Below are 22,863 nucleotides of genomic sequence, written 5' to 3' on the forward strand. Positions count from 1 at the left end.
TAGGTGTATAAGTCTTGTTTTGAAAGCACTGGATGCTGAATCCTGAGTGACAGAAGCATTTGCATATTTTAGAATAAACTCTGTATATTTGTGTGTGTGTGTGTGTGTGTGTGTGTGTGTGTGTGTGTGTGTGATGTGTGGGGCTAAGCACCACTCCCAGGCAGGTCTCTTCTTGCTTGAGGCTATAGGGAAGGTTGGAAAGCATCTAGCACTAGCTCTGTGTATAATAATCTCAAAGCAAATAATCACACTGCACACCCGCCAGCCCCCACTCCTAAATTCCCTTCTGATGTGAGGGGGAAAAGTGGAGCCCTGGCCAAGCAACTACTTATGAGAGCCATATTCAGCAGAGATATGTGGACAGAGAACTTCAACTCAAAGTCTACCTCTAAAACATAGAGTAAAAGCAACTACTTCCTAAAACTAGCTTAGTTATTTGGGACAATAATGACTATTTCAACCTATACAAGATACTTAGAAGGTGGTGAGCTCCAGCCACTGGAAGTGTTGAGCAGAGGGTAGATGCCAAGTTAGGGTTGACTTGAAGGGGTGTCTTCCACTGTTACACAGTGAGTCTAAGTGGCCTCTGAGATCTCTCCCCACTCTGAGATTCCAAGAGCATAAGATAAAGTGTTTGAACTGGCAAACAACAAACAGAGAAACAAGAAAGAAATGGCACAGGTACAGTAGTATGTTGGTGCCAGTTCACACTAGCTTTCAAGAGTCAGTTGTTAAACATTCAGGATATTTATGAACAAGTGGTTAAACGTTTGGTAGTTTGAAATCAGCCATGGTGGGAATATTTACACCATGGAAATTGGCAAATGCTACAACTCAGGACTTTTTTTCTAGAGAGCTGGTTTACCAGCACACCCCTGAAGACATAGTTGGTCCAGCCATTGAGTTTCATTTTAGCTAGGATCTAGGAAACTAATTCAATCCCACTTAAATTTTTTTTTATTTTAAGTTCCAGGAAACATGTGCAAGACGTGCAGGTTTGTTACACAGGTAAACATGTACCAAGTTGGTTTGCAACTATCAACCCATCAGCTAGATATTAAGTCCCACATGCATTATCTATTTATCCTGATACTCTCCCTCCCCCCAACACCCCTGGCAGGCCACAGTGTGCGTTGTTCTCTGTGTAAATGTGTTCTCATTGTTCGGCTCCCAGTTTTAAGTGAGAACGTGTGGTGTTGGTTTTCTGTTCCTGTGTTAGTTTGCTAAGGATTATGGCTTCCAGCTTCATCCATGTCCCTGCAAAGGACATGATCTCATTCCTTTTTATGGCTGCATAGTATCCCATGGTGTATATGTACCACATTTTCTTTATCCAGTTTATCATTGATGGGAATTTGGATTGATTCCATGTTTTTGCTATTGTGAATAGTCTCAGCCCCACTTTTTGTAGCAGAAGAATACAGGACCTAAAGGAATGCTGCTAGTGTGGTTAAATTCCTTGGTTTTGTGCACAGACAAACCTGGTGCTACCAAGTGTGTAGTCTTGAACAAAGTACTTCATCTGTCTAAACCAACCTTAGTTTCCTTATCTATAACTATTACGTGTGATAATATATATACAAAGATTATTATGGTTCCTGGCACATGATAATCTCTTAACAAATGTAGCTATTATTATTTTTTTCTGAGTTGTACATTGCTGTATAATTTTAAATTATTGCTGTACAGCTTAAAATTATTTTTTCTAAGTTGTACATTGGTTATCTGCTGTAAAAGCAGCAGTCTTAGGTTTAAACAACAACAAAAAATTCCTACTTACATAAAGCAATACGGGGTTTTTTGAAGGGATATTGCATTGAAGAACAGGATCAGAAATCAGACAGGAACCAAGAGAAGCCAAGGGGCCAGAATTCAGGCAGAGTCATGAAGACAGGCAGGTAAGGTTATGCATTGCTGTCATCAGTGATACCACCTCTCCCATCAGTCCTGGGTAAATGGCTTTGCCACTAGCCCTGTGGCTCCCAATACTGGGTATTTCCACTGACCCTTGGCCCAACTGTAGGAATGAATTCTCTGCTCATTTCTTTGCATAACAAACTTCAGATTCAAAGCCTTGGTTGAATCTTGGCCAACCTTCAGTTGGCCAATTCTCAGTTAGATGCCAGCACCATAACCTCTAGGGGTATGGTGTAGTAAGAAGTATCTAGTGTTTTCAGGCTCTGTTCTAGAACGTGGGCTCTGCCTCCCACCCAACCCACACTGTGGATAATTTCCAGACATAGGAAAAATCTGGGTGAGTGACATATATCCAATATGGCTTATTCCTTTAGATACCCTACATCCTTTCTCCCATGTTTAGTGTTTGACAACAACAACACAGATATAAAAAGTTGCTCCCATTTAGTATAATAAAATGATTGTGGCTGGGTGCAGTGGCTCACACCTGTAATCCCAGCACTTTGGGAGGCTGAGGCAGGCAGATTACTTGTGGTCAGGAGTTCAAGACCAGCCCGGCCAACACAGAGAAACCCCATCTCTACTAAAAATACAAAAATTAGCTTGGCGTGGTGGTGTGTGCCTGTAGCCCCAGCTACTCAAGAGGCTGAGGCAGGAGAATTGCTTGAACCTGGGAGGTGGAAGTTGCAGTGAACCAAGATCACGCCACTGCACTCTAGCCTGCTGGGTAATAGAGCAAGACTTCATCTCCGGAAGAAAAAAAAAAAAAAAAGATTGCTCACACATCTGAAGACCTTTTAACCCCCCCTTTAAAGAAAGACCAACTGAGATGATGTCCAATTTCACGTCTTGGATATTCGTTCTTCCCTTAGCATTGATATTCTGTAACCTGTGGACAAAGTCAGGGCCTGGCAAACTTTTCTGTAAGGGACCGTGTGATTATTTTAAGCTTTGTGGTCCACACAGTGGTTGTCTAGACTACTCATGTCTGTCACTGTTGCATGACAGCAGCCATACACAATGTGTAAATGAATGGTTGTGCTGTGTTCCAATAAAACTTTATTTACAAAAGTCCCTAGATGACTGTACTAGGACTGCAGTCTGTAGTTTGCCAAATTCTTGACAAGATTATACACTTTGCTACCACCAGCACACCCTATCATAATAATCAGGCACCCTAAAGAGGAAGGAGGAATGTTATTGTGTACACATACTCACACACAAATCATCCAGAATACAGAAAGGAAGCAGACATAGGTACAGGGAGGGGCTATGACTTCATTCCATCAACAGATCACACGGTCATAGCTGCTGCTATCACCACCCTCCATTATGGCCCATGCCATGCTTCCTTATTGATAGTCAGTAACTCACCTAGTTGTGGTCCAGTATCTGATGGGGCAACCCTGACTTTCACTGTGTCTAAGCTTTTGGTGATTTTGCCTGCATAGGGCTGGAAATGTTGTCCAATAACCTTTGTTGGACAACCTTTAGTTGGCATTGGTGACATGTTTCTCTGGCCATTATCTAAACCTCCTTCCTATGCTCAGTATCGAGGAGAAATTGGGATTACTACTCCCCAGTATGAGAAGAATATGGTTAAAACCCAGGAGGCTTCCCTGAGGGCCTCTCACTGGACATGATTGTATGAGAGGCCTTCAGGGAAGCTCTCTGGGTTTTAACCATATTCTTCTTATTCTGGGGAGTAGCAATCCCAATTTCTCCTCAATACTGAGCATAGGAAGGAGTTCAAACAATGGGCAGAGAAATAAGTCACCAGTGTCTACTACCTAACCTGGATGTCAGAGGGGCAGTAAACTTACAAATACTGCACCACACAGCACACATGGGACATTCACAACAAATATGGTAGCGAAAATTTGCTCTGTTTATGTACAGCATTGGATAAACAGTATCTAAGTGATGTATTTGTTTCTACTTTAGTCTGTGAACCTCCCAGAGTTGAGAACAAATGTATTTCTTTTTGCCGTCCCAGAACCAAGCACCATACCTGATAAACTGTTAGATGCTTGAAAAATGGATGTTAAAAAACATTAAAAGGTTATAAGAGATGTCAAAACCCAAAAATATGGGGAAGTAACTCATAAAAAATGTAACTTGCATGAAATAACAATAGGTTATCTTGGGCAAATAATGTGTGTAAGAAACACGTATTAGTTGAGGAAATGGAAGTTTGTGGATAAACATGATGTAGTGATTTAATCCTCACCTGGGGGTGAAGACTGGGTATTTCTCTCTCTTCTCTTGTGAGGCTCTTACAAGATACTCTGCAATTGGGAGTGGTATTGATTCAGGGCCAAAGCAAATTTATTGCTCTTGCTACTCTTTGGAAAATAATTTATTTAAGAGCTTGCATTTTTAAGTCAATAGAACTTTAGAAAACAGTTTGTTTCCTCAGTAGATAAGACTTTTAGTAAGAAGTAGACAGAAGCTCAAGTCTAGATGTGAAATGGGAAAATATTATCACAGATGAGTTGGCTTCTACTGGAAAGTTTAACTGTTGATTGAATTAAATAAGTTTAATTCAACAGGTTTTTTTTGGTGATATTTACTAAGTGTAAGGATAACCATATCTTAGGCAGTGTGGGAACACACAGATGAATAAGATTGCTCATAACCTAGTGGAGGAGATAGACTTGAAGTCTTTTAGATGCTATAGGTAGAGGCAACAATGAACAAGTTTAGGAGGACAGAGAGGGAAGAGATTAATTTCAGCTCAGGGAATCAATATAGACTCTATGGAGGAGTGATTGTTGGAGAGGTGACTATGATTTCAATAGAAATATATGACGAAACACATTTTGGATGGTAAGAACGTAAGGCAAAGATTGCAAATTCAAATGTCTAAGGGGTCAAGCGTATCACTATTATGAGTGAAGCTAGCTGAACGTAAGACAATAGGGAATAGTGAGGATTATAGTCAACTGGAGGGGCATGGCCCATGTAAAGGGATTAACCACTCCTCAGGCTCAGTTTGACTGTTAACATGATCCACTAATTTTTCAAGAGAAGCTGGAGATCTTCATAAACATTGTCAATGGATTTGATAAAACAACCACCCTATAACAGTGGGATCCAAATCCATCTACAGGCTAATTCTAGTCTGCAGACAGTGAGTTACAGAAAGATGAAGAGGGAGAAAGCTGCAAGCCAAGCTTGGGAGCCAGCATTGCATGGGGACATGAGTGTGTGGGGTGGGGGGTTTGTGTGATAAGACAAAAAAAAAGTGGATAGAGTGAAATCTTCCAAGACATTCAATACACTCCCAAGGAGTTTGGGCCTTATTCTGTGGGCAGTGAGGGCGTGGGATCATGGAGATGACTTGTTGAAAACAGTTTCTAAAAGACCTCTCTGGTTGCCTATGGAGGAAGGGATGAAAAAGGTTGTTGAGTGGGGGCAGAGGTGAGTTAGGAGGATGCCGCACAATCCAGGGTGAGAACTAATGAGGATCTGAGCATAGACTGAAGGAGACTGGTGAGGTATATTAAGACTCAAAACATATTCATGACTGGCTACACATAAAGGTTGAGGGGAAAAAGGTTGCTTTCTATGCCTTCAGAAATTAACTTAGGAAAACAGGTCTAAAACCCAAATGGATCACTAACCAGTTTTATAGCCTAGGGCCAATTATTTCTCTTAAATGTTAGCTTTTTCTTCTGTCAAATGGTGACAATGATAGCTGTCCTTGTCAACTAGGGGATGATGTAGCTGTCCTTGTCAACTAGGGGATGATGTAGCAATCAAATGAAACAGAGGACATGAAAGGGAGGTCATCACCATAAAGGACTGTGTCTATGGAAGTTATTTTGATTGTTGTTATCATAGTTAACTCTGAAATTCCTCATCAATCAGGACTTTGCAAACATATGGAGTCATAAAAAATTATAAAAATGACAAACCATTTTTAGCTTGGTGTGAAATAAGTAGCAGCATCTGGAGAGAAAAAATTTACTTTGTTGTTGTTAGCAGTGATAATCATGGCACCTGCTGTGGCTTACAGCCCTTTCCAAGTAAAGTGGGCCCATCCACTGTCCTAGCTGAGATTTCCATCCTAGGCAGCCATGTTTGAGGCCTTAAGCCATGTCTGACCCGGCAGCAGCAGATTCATCTGCTGATCAGTGGTCTAGGGTATGCCGTCATGTGAAAAGACTATTCAAACAGTAATGATGATAATCAGCTGAGCTGGAGATATTCTCCTGTAGAGAATTTGACTGGGGAAAGAGTAAGACATCCAATCAATGGCATGAAGACAATGGGGTAGAGGAGCAACATGATAGACCACCAGAGAAGGTGGCAGATGGTGAGTTGGTAAGTTGGTAGAACACTAGGGAGAGGACCTAGGACCTTTTTCGTTCAGCATTGCCGGAGTTGCTTTGGGTCAAGAACCATCTTTCAGTCCCATCCTCTGTGTGGCCACATCCTGTGATAACTTAACATTCTTTTTGTTCAACATAATTTCATTCAGTGGAAATCCTTAAAATACTTCATCCCTCACTTGAGTTAGCTCTTTTTTTTTGCGACCAAAAAACCTAACTGAAACATTGCCTCTATTCACCTGAAATAAACCTTCCTGATATGTTTGAAGTGAAAAACAGAGGTCCTCCAAAACTTGCTTAAGTGTCTTCTAGTGGGAGGAAAAACTGATTAAGTTAGATGGCATGCAACTGGGTATACCAAGGAGTTAGGGTTAAACTTTAAGAAATGCTGTGTTTCAAATTCCATATATATAGAAGGGCAGTTACTTTAAAAGAAACATATCTTAAGACTAGTCAAGGCAATGACAGGAAAAACTTGAGTTAATGCATGAAATTGATGGTCAGGTGGAATAATCATGGGCTTTAGAGTCAGAAGTTTAACCTGAAGTCCAGGTCCTATGACTTCCTAGTGGGATGGGCAGTGAGGTCTAGGGTGAGTCACTCATTATGCTGAACTCCAGGTACTGAAAAATGGAGCTGTAAAGGTGATGGTTATCATGACAGTGACGATTATGATGACAGTGATGATGATCATTGGGCAGGAGTCCATGGAATTCCTCATATACTTAACTATATTGTTTGTTATTAGGGAAGTAAAGTTCTAGAGTTGGAAATGAAAAGATTCAAGACAAAAAAATGGAAAAGGAATAGTAATTACACACAGAAGAAAGTTAACACATTTCAAAAAAAGTTACTTGTGAAGAGTTGATATTCCCATTTGATTCCACATGATAGTTATGCAATAAAATGTTTTTGGGCCTTAACATTTTAAAAGAAAGGTCATAGTATTAATAATAATAATAGTGACAATGGTAATAATGCTAATAACTGCAGCTACCACTTAGCATCCACAATGGCCCAGGCAGTGTCATGCTTCACATTCACTGTTTCAAATTCTCCAGTAGTCATGTTTATTACCCCCACTTTACTCATGAGAAACCCAAGAAACCCTCTGTTAATCTTCAGAGAGATTAAGAAGCTTGATCAAAGGCAAACAGGTAGGAGTTTCAACCTAGGTCTTTCTGGCTCTGCATTCTGTGTCCATCTTCCTGTTCACTTAGTGAGCTCATCCTAGGATGCTGAAACACAGGAGCTGCAATGATCCTTGGAGATTGCCTAATCTAGGCCCTTCTTTTTAGGGGAAAGGAAACAGAGTCCCGGAGTTGTGAAACTGATTGTCCGAGAGCATGCAGCTAGTTACTGGTGAGATCAAGTCCTCAGACTCAAGGCTCCCGACTCAGGGCCGTAGCCTGTCATCTAAACTAGGCTGCATCTCTGGTTTTGAATTTCCATGCTCTTGTGCAAACAGGCTGTTGGTTTTGTTCCAGAGAATTACAGGGCAAATTTACCCTTCCTGGGGGGAACAGCTGGCGTGTGCGCTGTGAAGTCTGCTATCATAGCACACCCTGGTTTTATGGTAGACTAGCCTCTGGCCTCTATTAGCAATAGGGAATCTGTTTGGCATGGAGTGAGCAAATAAGGGAGTGCACTGAAAACCAACCCCTAGATTCTTGTTTAGCAACTTCTGGCATGAACATTACGTGGTACTCATCAAAGTGGGAGCTGGGATAGCACATTAGTATGCTCACAGCAGCCAGCCTTTATGAAATGCTCATCACATCCTAGGATCCTTTAATTCTCACAATTAAACTGCAAGTTAGCTAATCTAATAACCCATTCAAAAGATGAAGAAACTGAGACCCAGGGACATTAAGAAACTTGTCAATGTTTAAAAAAAAAGAAGAAGAAAGCCTACTAAGTATTGTAAGAAGATCATAGCCTTCATTCTCTGGTATGTTTGATGATGCCAAAGCTGACATTTGTAACCACCACATACACCTGCACAGCACCTATAAGGTTTTGCACCTGTAGGGGCTTGGGGTGGTTAGAAAATAAGAACAGTCTTTGCCCTCAGGAATTTTATAGCCTAACATGGGACATATACACATTCACAGATATAATTCATTATAATACTATCTCCGAGAGAGCATTGAGGTTTTTTTGGCAGGCACTGTTCTATGAGATTTTTGAGAATCTGCCTTAATTTTTCAACATGGCTATGCAGTAAATTTTTATCATTTTACGAATGAAAAAACTGAGACTGAGAGAGGTAAAGCAAATCACCAAACTTTCTGTAGTTAGTAGGTATTTTAGAGTCTTGATTCAAGCCACAGCAGTTTAACTCCAGAGTCCAGGGTCACAGTCACTGTGGTCAAGGTTAAAAATAAAAGAAAATCAAATGCTATGGGAATCCAAAGGCATAGACATTTAAAATGGAAAGACTGTTGCCCTAAATCCTCAACACTGACTCCAGTAAACTTTTCTGCCAACCAAGAGCAATACAGGGTATGGTATTGGAGGCAGTGTGGTCTGAGCGATCTCGGAAGAGAAGAGGAGTCAGATCACCGGGTGTTAGACCCATCTCTTCACCAGGTGAATGTGGTAACTGTCATAACTGAGGATGACATCTTGGCTCCCTCTTCTGTGTCTTGATTACTATCACTGAAAGGTGCCCATAAACCTGGTTTATTTTTAAGAGATAATTTGTGTTTTATTGCTTGTTTCTGGGAGGATACTCACAGATGCTAACAAAACCCACAGAGACTGGGGAAGTTATAAAAGCTTCAGAAAAATCTTGAAAGTTATTACATTTTACTTAATACCTACTAACTACAGAAAGTATTTGTATTTAATAAATACAAATGGGGTTAGTTCCATTTTTTTCCATAGTCCATTCATAGAAAAACTTACGTAATTATTTGTTCATATGTTAAATAATTTATTCACACACACACATATATATTTGATATTTACAAAAATCTATTCTTTTTATTTTCCACAATTCCTAAGAGAAAGAAAATAGGAGCATTTTCAACATAGCCAGCTGCCTCTCCCTTACAGATTTCCAGCTGTGTTTTTTTACTTTGGGCTTTGTGGCAGAGTGAAAGGAGGCTTGGTCTGGCTGTCAGGTCACCTCTACTGTTTATTAGCCATGTGATTTGGGCAGGTGTCCTCCCTTGCTGGGCTCTGTGTTTTTGTTTTTCTCTCTCTAAAAGCAGGGGTTGGACTAAGCCATTGGTTTCCACATTGCACTATTGCATGATGAGTGGGGACTGTGGAGTTATTGGAGAGGATCTGGGAACCCTTGTGTTGGACAAGTTTGAGGGCTGGGCAAAATAATACCTCACACATGTCTATCATATGTGTGCATGAGGATACTGTTGTGATTAACAAAATGCAATTAAAAGTGTTATGAAATTATTCCTAACTGTAATCTTCGTAATTTTCTTGAAAAAAAAAAAACTAAAATACAATTGAATTTTTCCTAATTTTGGTCAATATGGCATTCTTAATGAACACACACTAAACATTCTGTTAACATGAGAAAGGTCTGGATACATCTTCTGTATTAGAAATGGGTCTTGCAATTGCAAAGGTCTGAATGATTTATTGGGTCCTTTTTAGGGTTAACATTTTGGGATTCTAAATTGCAGTGTTCTAAAATGGTAGCCACTAGCTATGTGTGGCTATTTAAATCTAAATTAACTTTAAAAAATTTAATCAGTTGCACTAGCCACATTTCAAATGTTCAGTAGTCACATAGATTGGTGGCTACCATATTGGACAGTGTAGATAACAGAATACTTTCATCATGGTAGAAAGTTCTATCAGACATCCCTGTTCTAGGAGAACTGGATGACCTTATTGGTGTGTTTTCCTTGACATGAGATGGTCTTATGGTCTCTTCTAATGATGTTTTTAGAAGAATATGAGATTGAGCCTGAAAGCATTTAGCTTTTGGCTCTGTCATTGACGGGGAAAAAGACATATATATACGTCAGTGGGTGGGGATGGTTAAGAAGCCTGGAAGATTGATCCACTCTTTGTGGGACAGTTTGCTTCGCACTTTTGATTGCACTTAGTAACATGATTCTTGTAAACAGCCATGCACAGCAATGAATGTTGATTCAGCCACACCCCCAACCCCCAATCCCCACAAATAGCCTCACCCACTCAATTACTCAGAAACTCAGAAGCCTGTGACCAGGATCTGGATAAAGGCAGACATCAGGATTTTGCTGTGTTCCTAGCCCAGAGGAGCTGCTAAAAAGAGGAAGAATGGAGAAGCCATCCAAAGCCAAGTAACATATTTCCTTCTCTTAACAGGAAAGCTTATGGGTGTGGCCAGAGTCAAAGGACTGGGAGAGGCAAGGGTCTCCCCTCAAAAATTTCATGGGTTAATTTAGACTTAAGGGTTAGTAAGAAAAAGTGGGCCAGGAGGGACAACTGGGCCTGACCACGCATCTAAAAGAAACTATTCCTCTTCTGATGAGTAAATACATCTTCACTCTAGAATATTTGGAAAATGTAGAAGCTAATAGGAATTTAATCATAACTCATATTATCACTGGAGGTAATTATTGCTAATGTTTTCAATATTAAAAAAATTTTCATTCCTTGAACTGAACTATAAAAGGTATTACATGCTTTTTTTTTTTTCTTTTTCCTTTTTTTCCAAACAGGGCCTTTCCTTATTTAATTGCACTAAACTGGAAAGCCAACCCAAGCTTGTGGTTTCTTTTCTTCCTCTTCCCATTTCTTTCTGCTTCAAAGACTCTTATCTCAGTTTGTAAATGAGAGTTGAGGTCTTTCAATTCTTTTGCAGGAATGATGTCCATTGGCCTCACTCACAGACTTGTTTAGGAAGCTCTGCTGGGGTTAAAACTTTGCCTTCATGGCCATGATAGCCAGGGGGGTGAGGGGCAGTTTGTCATGTGGTTCAGGGGTGGCCTTGGCTTTTCATTTGGTTTGGGGCAGGATAAAAAGGGTCTGGACACTTTTTAAAGTGAAAAGAGACTCCACTGGTCTCTTTTCATCTGCAAAGTAATTTGGTAGAATTACATGGGTACACTGTGAGTTCAGACAAGGGACAGAATCAGGATTTAGTATAGAATTGGGCTGATTGACTGTTAAAATTCAATTCATCATTAATTAAATTTTTGTTGACCATGTTATGAATATGGTATTTCACTAGGCACTAGGTCCACAAAAATGGACCAGACGAGATCCCTCTCTCAGAACGTTTACAGATTAGTAGTCTTGATCTATAATGAAACAGACAATCAAAATTTGAGTGTTGCAGGTATTACAATAGCGATAAGTTCAGGATACTGTTAGAGCCTAGGCAGGGAGAGGCACTTAATCCATTTTAGGTGGATCAAGGAAGTCTTCTTAGAGGATATGCATCTAAACTGAGAAGAGAAGAATGAAGAGGAAATAACATTCTTGAATGTGGAAGTGAGAGTCAGGGTGAGGGAAGAATGTTCCAGGTGGAAGGTATAGACAGCGTGAGTAAAGACAGGCAAGTGAGAGGCAGGATGTATTTGAGAATGACAAGTTCAGTAAAGTATACCCTATGTCCATTTTGCATATTTTGCTGGTAAATGCTTGGACAATAATGTTTGCTTCAAGGCGAGCCTGTGTTGATCTCTGAGGGTGCATTTCCTTCATCCCCAAGTGTAAATGCTGCCTGTCCTGAAAGAGGACCCAGGGTCAAAGCTGCCTTCTGCAGGCAGCCCTCCTAGATTTCCTCTGGTAGAAGTAAACTCTCCCTCTTTTGAATTCTCAAAGCGCTCCTGTCTTCTTGGAGCTTTCCACTTTATACAACAGTTGCTAACGAATATCTGTCCCTCTGCCCTCCTGGACTGTAAACAAATTGAGATCAGGGTCAGTCTTACTGTCTTCCAGATTCTTGGATGGCACCTGGAACAAAGATGCCCTTCAACAGAAACATGTATTCGGGATGCTGGCTCATGACTAGCACTGATCTGTGCTAATGTCTCATGGATTTTTTGAGCTTTTATGGTGTTGCCTCCTTCATTGCAAATTATCCTTTTCTCTCCATATGTTTGCCCTACTCTCTTGCCACAGTCAGGCTTAGGATAATTTTTAGAAGAGGATAATGACAATCAGTTCCATCTAGTCATGCAGATTGAGTTCATTGGATTGCAAGTTTTAAGTGGCATTATAAATAGTTCTTGGAGTAAGCGCTCTGCTTTGAGTGAAGAGAGAACAAAATTTCTCATGTAGGTAGCAACCCTTTTAGTGTTGTGGAGGTTTTTAGCAAGGCTTATATCCAACCATGGTGCATTTGGATGGTTATATTAGTTGATAAAATAATGAAATACTTCCATAGCAGTAAGTGAACAGCTCCTGTCTTGAGCCCACTGAGTGCCCTTCTGACAGCCAAGACCCACTTGTATCCAGCAATTAATGCGTCAATGTCTGGTTTAGCAGGAGGTCCAGGGCTCTGCAGTAGCACCACGGCTGGGGCACTTTGATAGGTTGATACCCATGCCATTGGTATTTTGACTACCACCTCTGCTTACCAAGTGTGTCTGTCAGTGATGCTGAGGTATTTCCTCCTAAAGAAAACAGGATTTGGGGACATTTTGGATAAAAGAGAGCTGATTAGAAGACTGCAGAGAATAGCAATTCCAACCCACTGATTTTTATCATTTAGTAATTGCATTACCTTAGGCACAATGCTTCACCTCTACTCAGTTTTCTTGTCTGTAAAAGAGGGATATAAATTCATTCCTTTATCCATCCATTCATCCGTCCATTTACCCACTCACTCATTTATCCATCTGATAAATAACTGTGCCAAACAGGAAGTGTTGACTGATGGTGACCAGACACACATTTAGGAGATTCAATTTGGGGAACTTACCATAAATCTAATTTTTAAGGTCAAATGAGACATCGAGAGGGAAAGCCTTTTGAAAGTGCAGAGGACTTGACTGATGTCGAGGTGTCCAGTACATCAATAATATCCACTCAAAGAACAGGCTGGGACATTGCTGTGCACTCTAACATTCAGTAAGGACCTTCCGCACTTCAGGTATTCATGACATTTGTCTAAATCTCACATAGGGCCAAAAGGACTAGGAGTCAGTTTTCATTTAACTATTTGTTGAAAGCCTCCGTGTTCCAGATGTTATCTCCTTCCCGCCAAAGAAAAAACATAGCTCTACAGTCTTTGCTGAATGTAAAAATAATGCACAATCTTTATTAAAATGTGAGACAATACAGGAAAAGGTGTAAAGACAAAAAGTAAAATTAATCCCAAATACTACCTCCCAGAGAGAAATACTTATTTTTTGATGTAAAATTCTCTTCAGGCATCTTTCTATGCATATATACATTTTTATACACAAATTGTATCGCATTATTCATGCTGTTCTATAACCTACTTTTCCTCCGAACATTATCAACATACACAGGAAGTTTTATTACTGGGAAAATGACTGAAAAGTTTAACATTAAAATGGACTACATTCTCTTTTGTTTCTTTTGTCATAGCATTCTAGAATTCTGTTGAATCCTTTTCTTGCATTTCTTGCATTTTCCCCTTGAACTAATGAAGTTTGTGCTTAGGTCTTGTGAAGTGGGCATCTTTTCAATTCAACAAATACAGGCCGGGCCTAGTGGCTCACACCTGTAATCCCAGCACTTTGGGAGGCCAAGGCGAGTGGATAGCTTGAGCCCAGGAGTTTAAGACCAGCCTGGGCAACATGGTAAAACCCCATCTCTATAAAAATACAAAAATTAGCCAGGCATAGTGGTGCACATCCATAGTCCCAGCTACTCAGGAAACTGAGGTGGAAGAATTGCTTGAGCATGGGAGGTGGAGGTTGCAGGGAACTGAGATTGTGCCACTGCACTCCAGCCTGGGTGACAGAGAGACAACCTGTCTCAAAAAAAAAAAAAAAAATTCAACAAATACATACTCGCACTGCATGATATTCCATTGTGTGTACAAAATTTATTTAATTAGTCCCCAGTTGATAAGTATTTGAGACAGTTCCCATGTAATAATTCTATAATTATCATCCTTGTGTATTCAGCTTTGTCTATGTGCAATCGCATCCTCAGGACAAATTCCTAGGAATGGGAAGACAGAGGTCAAAAGTTTTTAAACTTTAATTTGTATTTGTGTCAGGGGCTATTAAGGGACAAGAGAAGTGTAGGCTGTGGGAGGTTGAGGTTTAGCTGAAGTCTTGAGACTTCAATCTCATGGCACAATCAAAGAACACGGCAGAAAGTGTTTAGCAGAGAGCTGAGAGTGAATGCTGTTAGGTGGTGGTGGCAGGGGCGGGGGGGTGGTCATCGAATGTTGGAATCAGTTTCAGCAGTGATTGAACTGACCTTGCTTTGGCGTTCTTAAGAATAGCCTGGACGGCATCAGATAGGGGATTTCTGGGAGATTCCAGTGTAAAGGCGAAGTTTGGGGCTGGATTCCTTTCAGTTTAACAAACATTTAGAGAGTGCCCCTCAGGGTCAGGCGTGGGGTATGGAGGAAAACACACCGGCCCCTGGCATCCAAGGGCTCTCAGTCCAGCAGGGGACATACAGTGGTCAACAGGAACTGCAATTCAGAGTGGATGGCTCCAGTGGGATCCTGCCCCAGGGGAGGCAGTACAATAACTCTGGGTGGGCAGAGAGTGCTGGCAGGCAAAGAGAACACTTCGTAGGAGAGTGGGGACTTGAAGGATGAGTGAGAACTCCTTGGGAAGGAAGGGAGGGGGCCCCCAAGTCTCAGCAGTGGAGAGGCTGGAGGCCAGAAGAGAGAGTGGGGCACTGTTGTCCAGGCTTGCTAGAGCATAAAGCAGAGAATGGGAGAGTTGGTCCTTTGAGACTGTTTGCCACACCTGGGGCCAGCTACCTCTTCTCATGCCTTAGGTTTGCTTATTTCCTTAACTGGTCCAGGCTGGGCTTCCTTGTAGGGAGGACTTGCTTTGCATTTACTCTTTATGTAAAGTAAAGATGTCTAGGAGGCATATGATAAAGGTCAATTGTGGAAGGACTCTGGTTGAGCAGCAGGCCCTGTACTTGAAAAGCGTCCTGCCAGTGTAGGCAATACAGGTGCCCCTCAGTGCTTGCCCTGGGGGGCCTGCCACAGCACAGCACTGCAATGGCTGGAGGAGCCACCTCTGCTCATGGTCCAGTACCTTGGGAACAGTAAGCCATGTGCTTGGGCAGCGTTGGCCATATAATTTGCATGGCTCAGTGCAAAATGGAAACGTAGAGCCCCTTAAGTTTAAAAGACAGGAAAAAAGTCTTTTCTGTTTTCCACAGTCTTTCTCATGATCTGTCATGGTGCTCTTTATTTGGGTTTATTAATAATGTCATGTTCTCTCTAAAGCACAGGGATGCTCATGGGGCAAGCGCAGACTCTCATAGGTACCCGGAGCTCCCCTCCACATCAATCACCTAAGGTCCCTGCACCTGACTTGGACTCTTCTGCACCTGTGAAAGGCAGCAGAGATAGCTGGGCCAGCAAGGGGGAGCAGGTGGCCAAGAACCTTTCCTGGAGAGGCAAGGAGGCAGTGGGAGGAGGAGGAGGAACACACAAGGGTGAAGGCCCTAAGCCCCTGGCACATGTACACTGTCCCATCATACTTCTCTTACAAAACACAATTTCAAATTCTTATGAAGAATTGCAAGGTGGTGACTGCAGAGCATTACACCCCAAGTTCAAGTCCCCTTCTGAGCCTGGGACACTCTGTGATTATATTGGTTGCAGGTTTTGTTCTTGAGGTTGACAGACTCCATTTCCACTCACTTCCCACCCTGAGGCTCACCCTAACTCCACTGGAGCAAGTGGACTTGGTCATCAGGACCACGAAGAGGTCATCAGGACTCTTGCAAGACAATCAAGTGGATGGGAAACGAAGTTCCTGAGAGGCTGGTGGTGCAGGTTGTGACTTGTGTCTGACCTCTGGCAAATCCATGGATCCTTCTTTGACCCTGGATGGCCCCATCATCTAGCCTCTGAGGGTCATAGTCCAGGCCAAATGAGAAATACAGTATTCTGAGAGTTATGCTGGGCTGTGATGAAGAACCGCGATTAGACTGGTTCTGTGGTCCCAAGAGTTGGAAGGGGAGATTATGGCACAGTGACCATGTCTGCGAGCCAGAGCTCGGCCAGGAGGGCCCACGTCTAGCCTGAGTGACCACTTAGCAGGGCTACAGTTGTGTAGAAAACATTCCAGCTTAGTATAGGAGGATACACTTAGTGACCTGTGGGGCCTCTCCCTACTCAGGGATTTTATGGTCTGCTGCTGAGGAATTTTTAACTGTAAAAAACCATAAAATTTACCATTGTAACTATTTTAAGTGTACAGTTCAGTTGTGTTAAATGTATTTACACTGTTGTACAATAGACCTCTGAAACTTTTTCATCTTGTAAAACTGAAACTATACCCATTGAAAAACAATTCCCCATTTCCCTTCCTCTCAGCCCCTGGCAACTACCGTTCTACTTTCTGTTTCTCTGTTTCTATGAGTGTGACTACCTATACTACTCATACCTCATATAAGTGGAATCAAATACTATTGGTCTTTTCGTGCCTAACTTATTCACTTAACATAATGTCCTCAAGGTTCATCCATGTTGTGGCATGTGACAAGATTTCCTTCATTGTTATAGTACATTATATGTCTATATCACAGTTTTGTTTATCCTTTCATCCATTGATGGATATTGGGTTGCTTCTATTTCTTGGCTATTATCAATAGTGCTGTTACAAATATGGGTGTGCAAATATCTCTTCAAGATTCTGCTTTCTATTCTTTTGGATATATACCCAGAACCGGTATTGCTGGGTCACGTGGTAGTTCTATTTTTAATTTTTTGAGTAACCGCCATTCTGTTTCCTAAAGTGTCTGTACCATTTTACGTTCCTGCCAACATTGTGCAAGGATTCCAACTTCTTTATATCTTTGTCACCACTTGTTATTTTCTGTATTTTTATTTTTTAAGTTTTTAGAGACAGGATTTTACTCTGTCGTCTAGGCTGGAGTGCAGTCGTGCCATCTTGCCTCACTGCAGCCTTGAACTTCTGGGCTCAAGTGATCTTCCCGCCTCAGCTTCCTGAGTAGCTGGGACTACAGGTGTCCACCACCATGCCAGGCTAATTTTTGGATTTTTTTTTTTTTTTTGTAGAGACTGGATCTTGCTGTGTTGCCCAGGATGGTCTCAAACTCCTGGTCACAAGTGATTCTCCCACCTTACCTTTTTTTTGAGTGTGTGCCGGGACAGCGGGGTAGTAGCCATCCTGATGGGTGTGAGGATTGTACTCTTGCAGAGGGCCAGACATGTCAACCGATGCAAGCTGTGGGGTATCTGGGGCTGGGTAAAAGTCAAGTCAGGGCACCACAGGGCGGCTGTGGGGAGGTTGGATCTTACTGATGATGATGGCATCAGGAAAGGGGTTAGTGTAGAGGCCGCCCTCGGGCTGAGAGACTTGAAAGGTGTTTGTCAAGCCGCTTGTAACGTGCCATTGATCTACTGTGAGACCTTGGGCAAGTTCATTCATCTGTTTGAGCCACTGTTTCTCCATTTCTGACAGGATGGGCTGGGCCAAGCAGCAGCATGAGGGAAGTATGGAATTGTGAAACAGTCTGGCCAGTTTATCTCCTTTCGCCCCAGGTACTATGATTTCAACCTTTGCCTCAGGTGGTTTCCAGTGTAAATCCCTCAGAGCCGTGCCTCCAGGCCCCTTGCAAGGAGCCTTTTTCATGGCCAACTGGAAACAAGCCAACATGCACCCGGTGCCCTGCTCCCAGCAGCTGCCATCTGTGTGCGTTGGCTGGTGGCTCACATGACCTCAGCTGCAGCTGTGGGAGGCTTTGGGATCTTGGCTGTCCAGCTGACTGCCTGCTGGGGGCAGGGGCATTTATTCTGCGTGACAGAAGGTAACATCTGTGGCTGGAGAGATAAGGAGAATTTCCGTCTGAGTCACTGGAGGAAACAGGAAAAAGAAAAACCTCCGACTGAGGAAAGAATCCTCAGGTTGCAGCAAGAGAAGCTGGTGTGCCATTCTTCCGGCCTAAACCTGGTCAGAAGCAGGCTTAGGCTCTCAGAGTATTGCCTGGGCCCGGACTTTGTGCAGGGCCCCAGCAGCCCATCGTGAGGGGGAACTAAGATGTGTGTGCCAGGGACTCAGAGACCATTAGCGAGAGAAGGCAGCGCCTCCTGCTGGTGATAAATGAAATACAGCAGAGCCGTGGGCTCCCGTAGGCACCGCCAACCTGGAAATCCTCCACGTCCCTTTGCCAAGAGAAACTGACATGTTTCTGGACTCTTAAGGTTCACATTTTGGTCTGTGGGTAGCTTATAATTGATGTGTATAATTATTGTGGTGTGGTTTATAAATCGATGGCACACCTTTTTTCTCCTTGATCTCATTGACTGTCACAGCAGCCCAATGAGATAGATTTTAAAGTGTAGCTAGTAAGCGGTGGAGCCATGATTTGAACTCAAAGTGTGTAATCCAAAGCCCCACTTTCCTCCCTCCCACTAAATCTCATTGCCTGGCCCTGGCTTCGGAGAACTCAATAGCTGAGATTTATACAGCCCCCCCCCAGACCCCCATTCTGTCTTGCCTTCTCTGCTCTCAGTCTAGCCACATCCTTCCCTGTACTATGGAGGGGCTGTTGCTCACCACATTTCTGCCGAATAAGCTGCTATGCAGCGTGGTGATAATGACAGAGGAAAAGTTATCTGAGCCAGAGGCCCAAGCAGGTGTTTTGCACCAACTCCTCCAAGGGTTCCAAAGGTGGAGAGAAAATGTCTGAATCAGACAGCAAGATGCTGATGGATATTCACAGCTGTGATCCTGGAGGGAAAGGAAACAAACTCCATTTTCTAGGTGATGGGACAGAGGCACAGAGAGGCGAATGAAGCAACTTCGTCAATGTCACCTGCAGAATGAGATACAATGCACGGCCATTGGCTTTGATGCCCTTGCTTTTTCCACGTATTCTGTTGAACTATATGAAATTGCCATCTGAATGGGTCAAAAACAGTTGACTCTAAGCAACTTCATATAGTTCAACTCAATGTCATGCTGCTTCCCCAGGGCACTGCAAAATTCTGCAGGTACTCCCGAGTTCTCAGAAAAAGTTATGCATAAGAGTAGCCAATTTATTTTAGGTTATTTTTAAAATCAGTAATTTAAGCATAGTGATGATGTTGGTGATGATGATGATGACAATATCAATAATAGCAGCTAACACTTAAGGAACCCTTAACATATGCCTGGCCCTGTGCTAAGCCCATGCGTTATTTTATTTAATCCTCCCAACTGCCCTATAAGGTAGATTCTATTATCACCTCATTTTTACAGATGAGGAACCTAACTAACACCATCTCTACTAAAAATACAAAAATTAGCTGGGCATGGTGGCACGTGGCTTTAATCCCAGCTACTCGGGAGGCCAAGGCAGGAGAATTGCTTGAACTGGGACCCAGGAGGCAGCTGCAGTGAGCCGAGATCACGCCCCCGCGCTCCAGCCTGGACTACAGATCGAGACTCCAACTAAGAAAAAAAAAAAAAAAAAAAAAGTGAAAATCTGGCTGGGCATGGTGGCTCAAGCTTGTAATCCCAGCACTTTGGGAGGCCAAGGCAGGTGGATCACCTGAGGTCAGAAGTTCAAGACCAGCCTGACCAACATGGCGAACCCCGTCTCTACTAAATATATAGGTGGGTGCCTGTAGTCCCAGCTACTCCAGAGGCTGAGGCAGGAGAATTGCTTGAACTTGGGAGGCAGAGGTTGCAGTGAACTGAGATCGAGCCACTGCACTCCAGCTTGGGTGACAGAGGAGACTCAGTATCAAAAAAAAAAAAAAAAAAAAAAAGTATATGGCTGGGTGCGGTGGCTCACGCCTGTAATCCCAGCCCTTTGGGAGGCTGAGGTGGATCATCTGAGGTCAGGAGTTCAAGACCAGCCTGGCCGACATGGTAAAACCCAGTCTCTACTAAAAATACAAAAAATTAGCCGGGCATGGCGGCAGATGCCTGCAATCCCAGCTACTTGGGAGGCTGAGGCAGGAGAATCGCTTGAACCCGGGAGGCAGAGGCTGCAGTGAGCCGAGATCATACTTCAGCCCGGGTAACGAGACTGAAACTCCATCTCAAAAAAAAAAAAATAAATAAATAAAAGAATGTGAAAATAGTGAATTGGAATATTCGGTTAATCAGGGCACACTCTGTCTGTCTTAACCAGGCTTCCACGAGAGGATGAAGCCCTGGCACTCAGAGGCATCCATCGTATATAATACATTTTCTCTGCTATGCATTTAGAATGCTACTAGTTACATACTATTCCTGGGAGAATTGAGAAAAAAACCCACACAAATCATTTTCTGTGGTTTTAATGAGGTGCACTGAACAAGAAAGGCTGCTAGATGGTGCAAGCAGCCACACTTTCCTCTTCACTTGGTTGCGTACTGTTCACCTCCCTGTTCTCTCATGGTCACTGTCAAAACCAAGAGGATGGTGTAATGTTAATAGAATGCTTCCCCGGTTGTTCATGTTTGCTCACTTATTTATCTAAGATAAACTTGTGATCTTGATCCAGATGTATCTCAAATTCAATGGGCTATCTAAAATTCAATTTCCTAGAAGTGAAATCTCTAAATTTTTGATTGCCCATCTGATTACAATTATTTGTTATTAATAAATTTTATTCTTGTATTAAGGTACTGACAGAATGTTGATTTATCGATATGTAATGGACACTGAAAACAGTGGCTTCAATAGATAGAAATGGACTTCTCTCTCATGGAATAGTTAGGAGGGAGACAGTCTAGGGTCAAAGTGGCAGCTCTGCTCTATGAGGGAACCCAGGGACCCAGCCTCTGCCTCCCTGTAGCTCTGAAATCCTGACAGTGTTTCACTCATCTGTGAGGCCCAGGATGGTTTGCTGAATTATCCACATTCCAAGTAGCAGGATAGAAGAAAATTTTGGCAGGATGCAACATGACACCTGTCTTTCAGGACAGAGCTGGAAGTTACAGCATCATATTGACCAACATCCTGTCAGCTAAAAATGATCACACGGCCATATCAGCTATAAGGCACCAGGCTGCAATGGATGCTAGGAAAGGCAATTTTGTAATTTTGGTGGCTGTGTGCCCAGCTGAAAATTGGCAATTCTGTGAAATTGGCATTACCATGAAATGGAAGGAAGAAAGCATAGCAGGAGGCAACATTCAAAAACAGAGATAAACAATGAGATAAAGTGTACATAAATAGAAGTTTCAATATTTCCTTCCTGCACTGCCATGGACGGTCTTGCCCAGACCCCAGAGTGTGCCTACCCTTCCTTGGAGACCATTGCCGTCTGGGGTTGTTTGGTCTTTTCCAGACACATTTGAGTGGTCCTTCTGAAAATAACAGAATGCTTTGCTTACAAACATCAGCTCCATGTACAGCTACATTATTTGCAGGGCCCAGTCCAAAAGAAAACATGGGACTCTTTGTTTGACAATGATTATGAATTTCAAGATGGTAAGAGCAGAGCAATAAAGCAAGCATGGGGCTTGTCTATGCATGGAGCCCAGTGCACAAGTGGCACATCTGTGAAACCAGCCCTGCTCACTTCTTATTGGGAGATGACAGAAAAGGCGTTAAAGTTCTCACTGACTTCTTATAATGGCTATATAAATTATGGCAGTCAACATTTATAAAAAAATGCAGTGTAAATTAACACTCAGAATGGGACTAGATATTCAAATTTGGTGACGTGGTGGCAGCAGTCCCCTAGTGCATGCTTTAGGAGTGCTTCTCAGACTTGGGATGCTGGGCATACATTCCTGGAAGTTCAAGAGAATCTTGTTGTGATGTCATATTGAGTGTTCTTTGCATGACGGCCTTCTGAGGGTAGGTTAGTATTATGTTTAAGAATCCCGGTGGCTTACTTTCCTCTGGATTCTGGGACAAAGACTATGTCCACGTGGCCTGGAAGTAGGTGGCCCATGCAGTTTCCCCAGGCCAGATTGTCTGGCTCCCGTGCACAAGGACCCGAGTGTGCATAGGGGAAAGGTTGGCCTGCGGCCAGCTCTGGGAGTTCGTCACCGGGAAGGCTAGAGCGGGCAGGATGTAAGTTCAGGTTATGGTGGGGGAGGCAAACCTTGTCTAACATTAGGCCAAGGTTGTATACAAAGAATACAGGGATCAATCAGAAACTCAGGAGACCTGGAAGACTTTAGGGGGTAGAATATATAATAAGGCAATGGCACAGAATATAAACTATGAATAGCCACAACTCAGGCCCACAATCTCTTATTCACAATTCCAACATCCATACAGCTCTGAAAACTGGAAGTTTTCTCTCAGTGTGGCACAAACTCTTTTGCTGTACTACTTGATGTGAAGCTATTTATTGTCTAAGTAATATATATTCTAAGTAATATATCTATTTGCTATAGAAATATTACATTTTACTATGAAATATTATCTTAGACTCTAATGGAAGACTACTTAATTCTCTCTCTCTCTCCTAAAATCAGAAAGATTATAAATTTTGTAACATATTGGACTCCAAAGATTTGGGGTAAAAGAGGTGGGCTTGTAATACATATGATTTATTTCACATT

General features: G+C 42.4%; 1 protein-coding gene across 5 annotated transcripts in view, besides 1 other annotated feature; it reads left to right on the forward strand.

Moving 5' to 3' along the window:
• FER1L6 (fer-1 like family member 6) overlaps positions 1-22,863 on the forward strand; it is a 268,075-nt gene that overhangs the window by 52,149 nt on the left and 193,063 nt on the right. For 4 of the 5 annotated variants that reach the window (XR_928347.3, XM_011517231.3, XM_006716618.4 and 1 more), the window contains exon 1: positions 10,438-10,555. The exons of the other annotated variant lie outside the window; for it this stretch is intronic. Coding sequence is in view for 3 of the 4 variants with exons in the window: in XM_011517231.3 (XP_011515533.1) it covers positions 10,533-10,555 (23 nt within the window). In the remaining variant the exon portion in view is untranslated. Of the gene's footprint in view, positions 1-10,437; positions 10,556-22,863 lie in introns of those variants that run through there. 5 annotated transcript variants of the gene reach the window in all.
• Positions 20,534-20,828: a silencer, noted in NCBI's record as "tiled region #15371; HepG2 Repressive non-DNase unmatched - State 13:Ctcf". NCBI's record gives its function as "represses a minimal TATA promoter and a strong SV40 promoter by Sharpr-MPRA in HepG2 cells {active_cell/tissue: HepG2}" and the evidence as "EXISTENCE:reporter gene assay evidence [ECO:0000049][PMID:27701403]".

This window comes from Homo sapiens, chromosome 8 (assembly GCF_000001405.40).
Source record: "Homo sapiens chromosome 8, GRCh38.p14 Primary Assembly".
Classification (NCBI taxonomy): domain Eukaryota; kingdom Metazoa; phylum Chordata; class Mammalia; order Primates; family Hominidae; genus Homo; species Homo sapiens.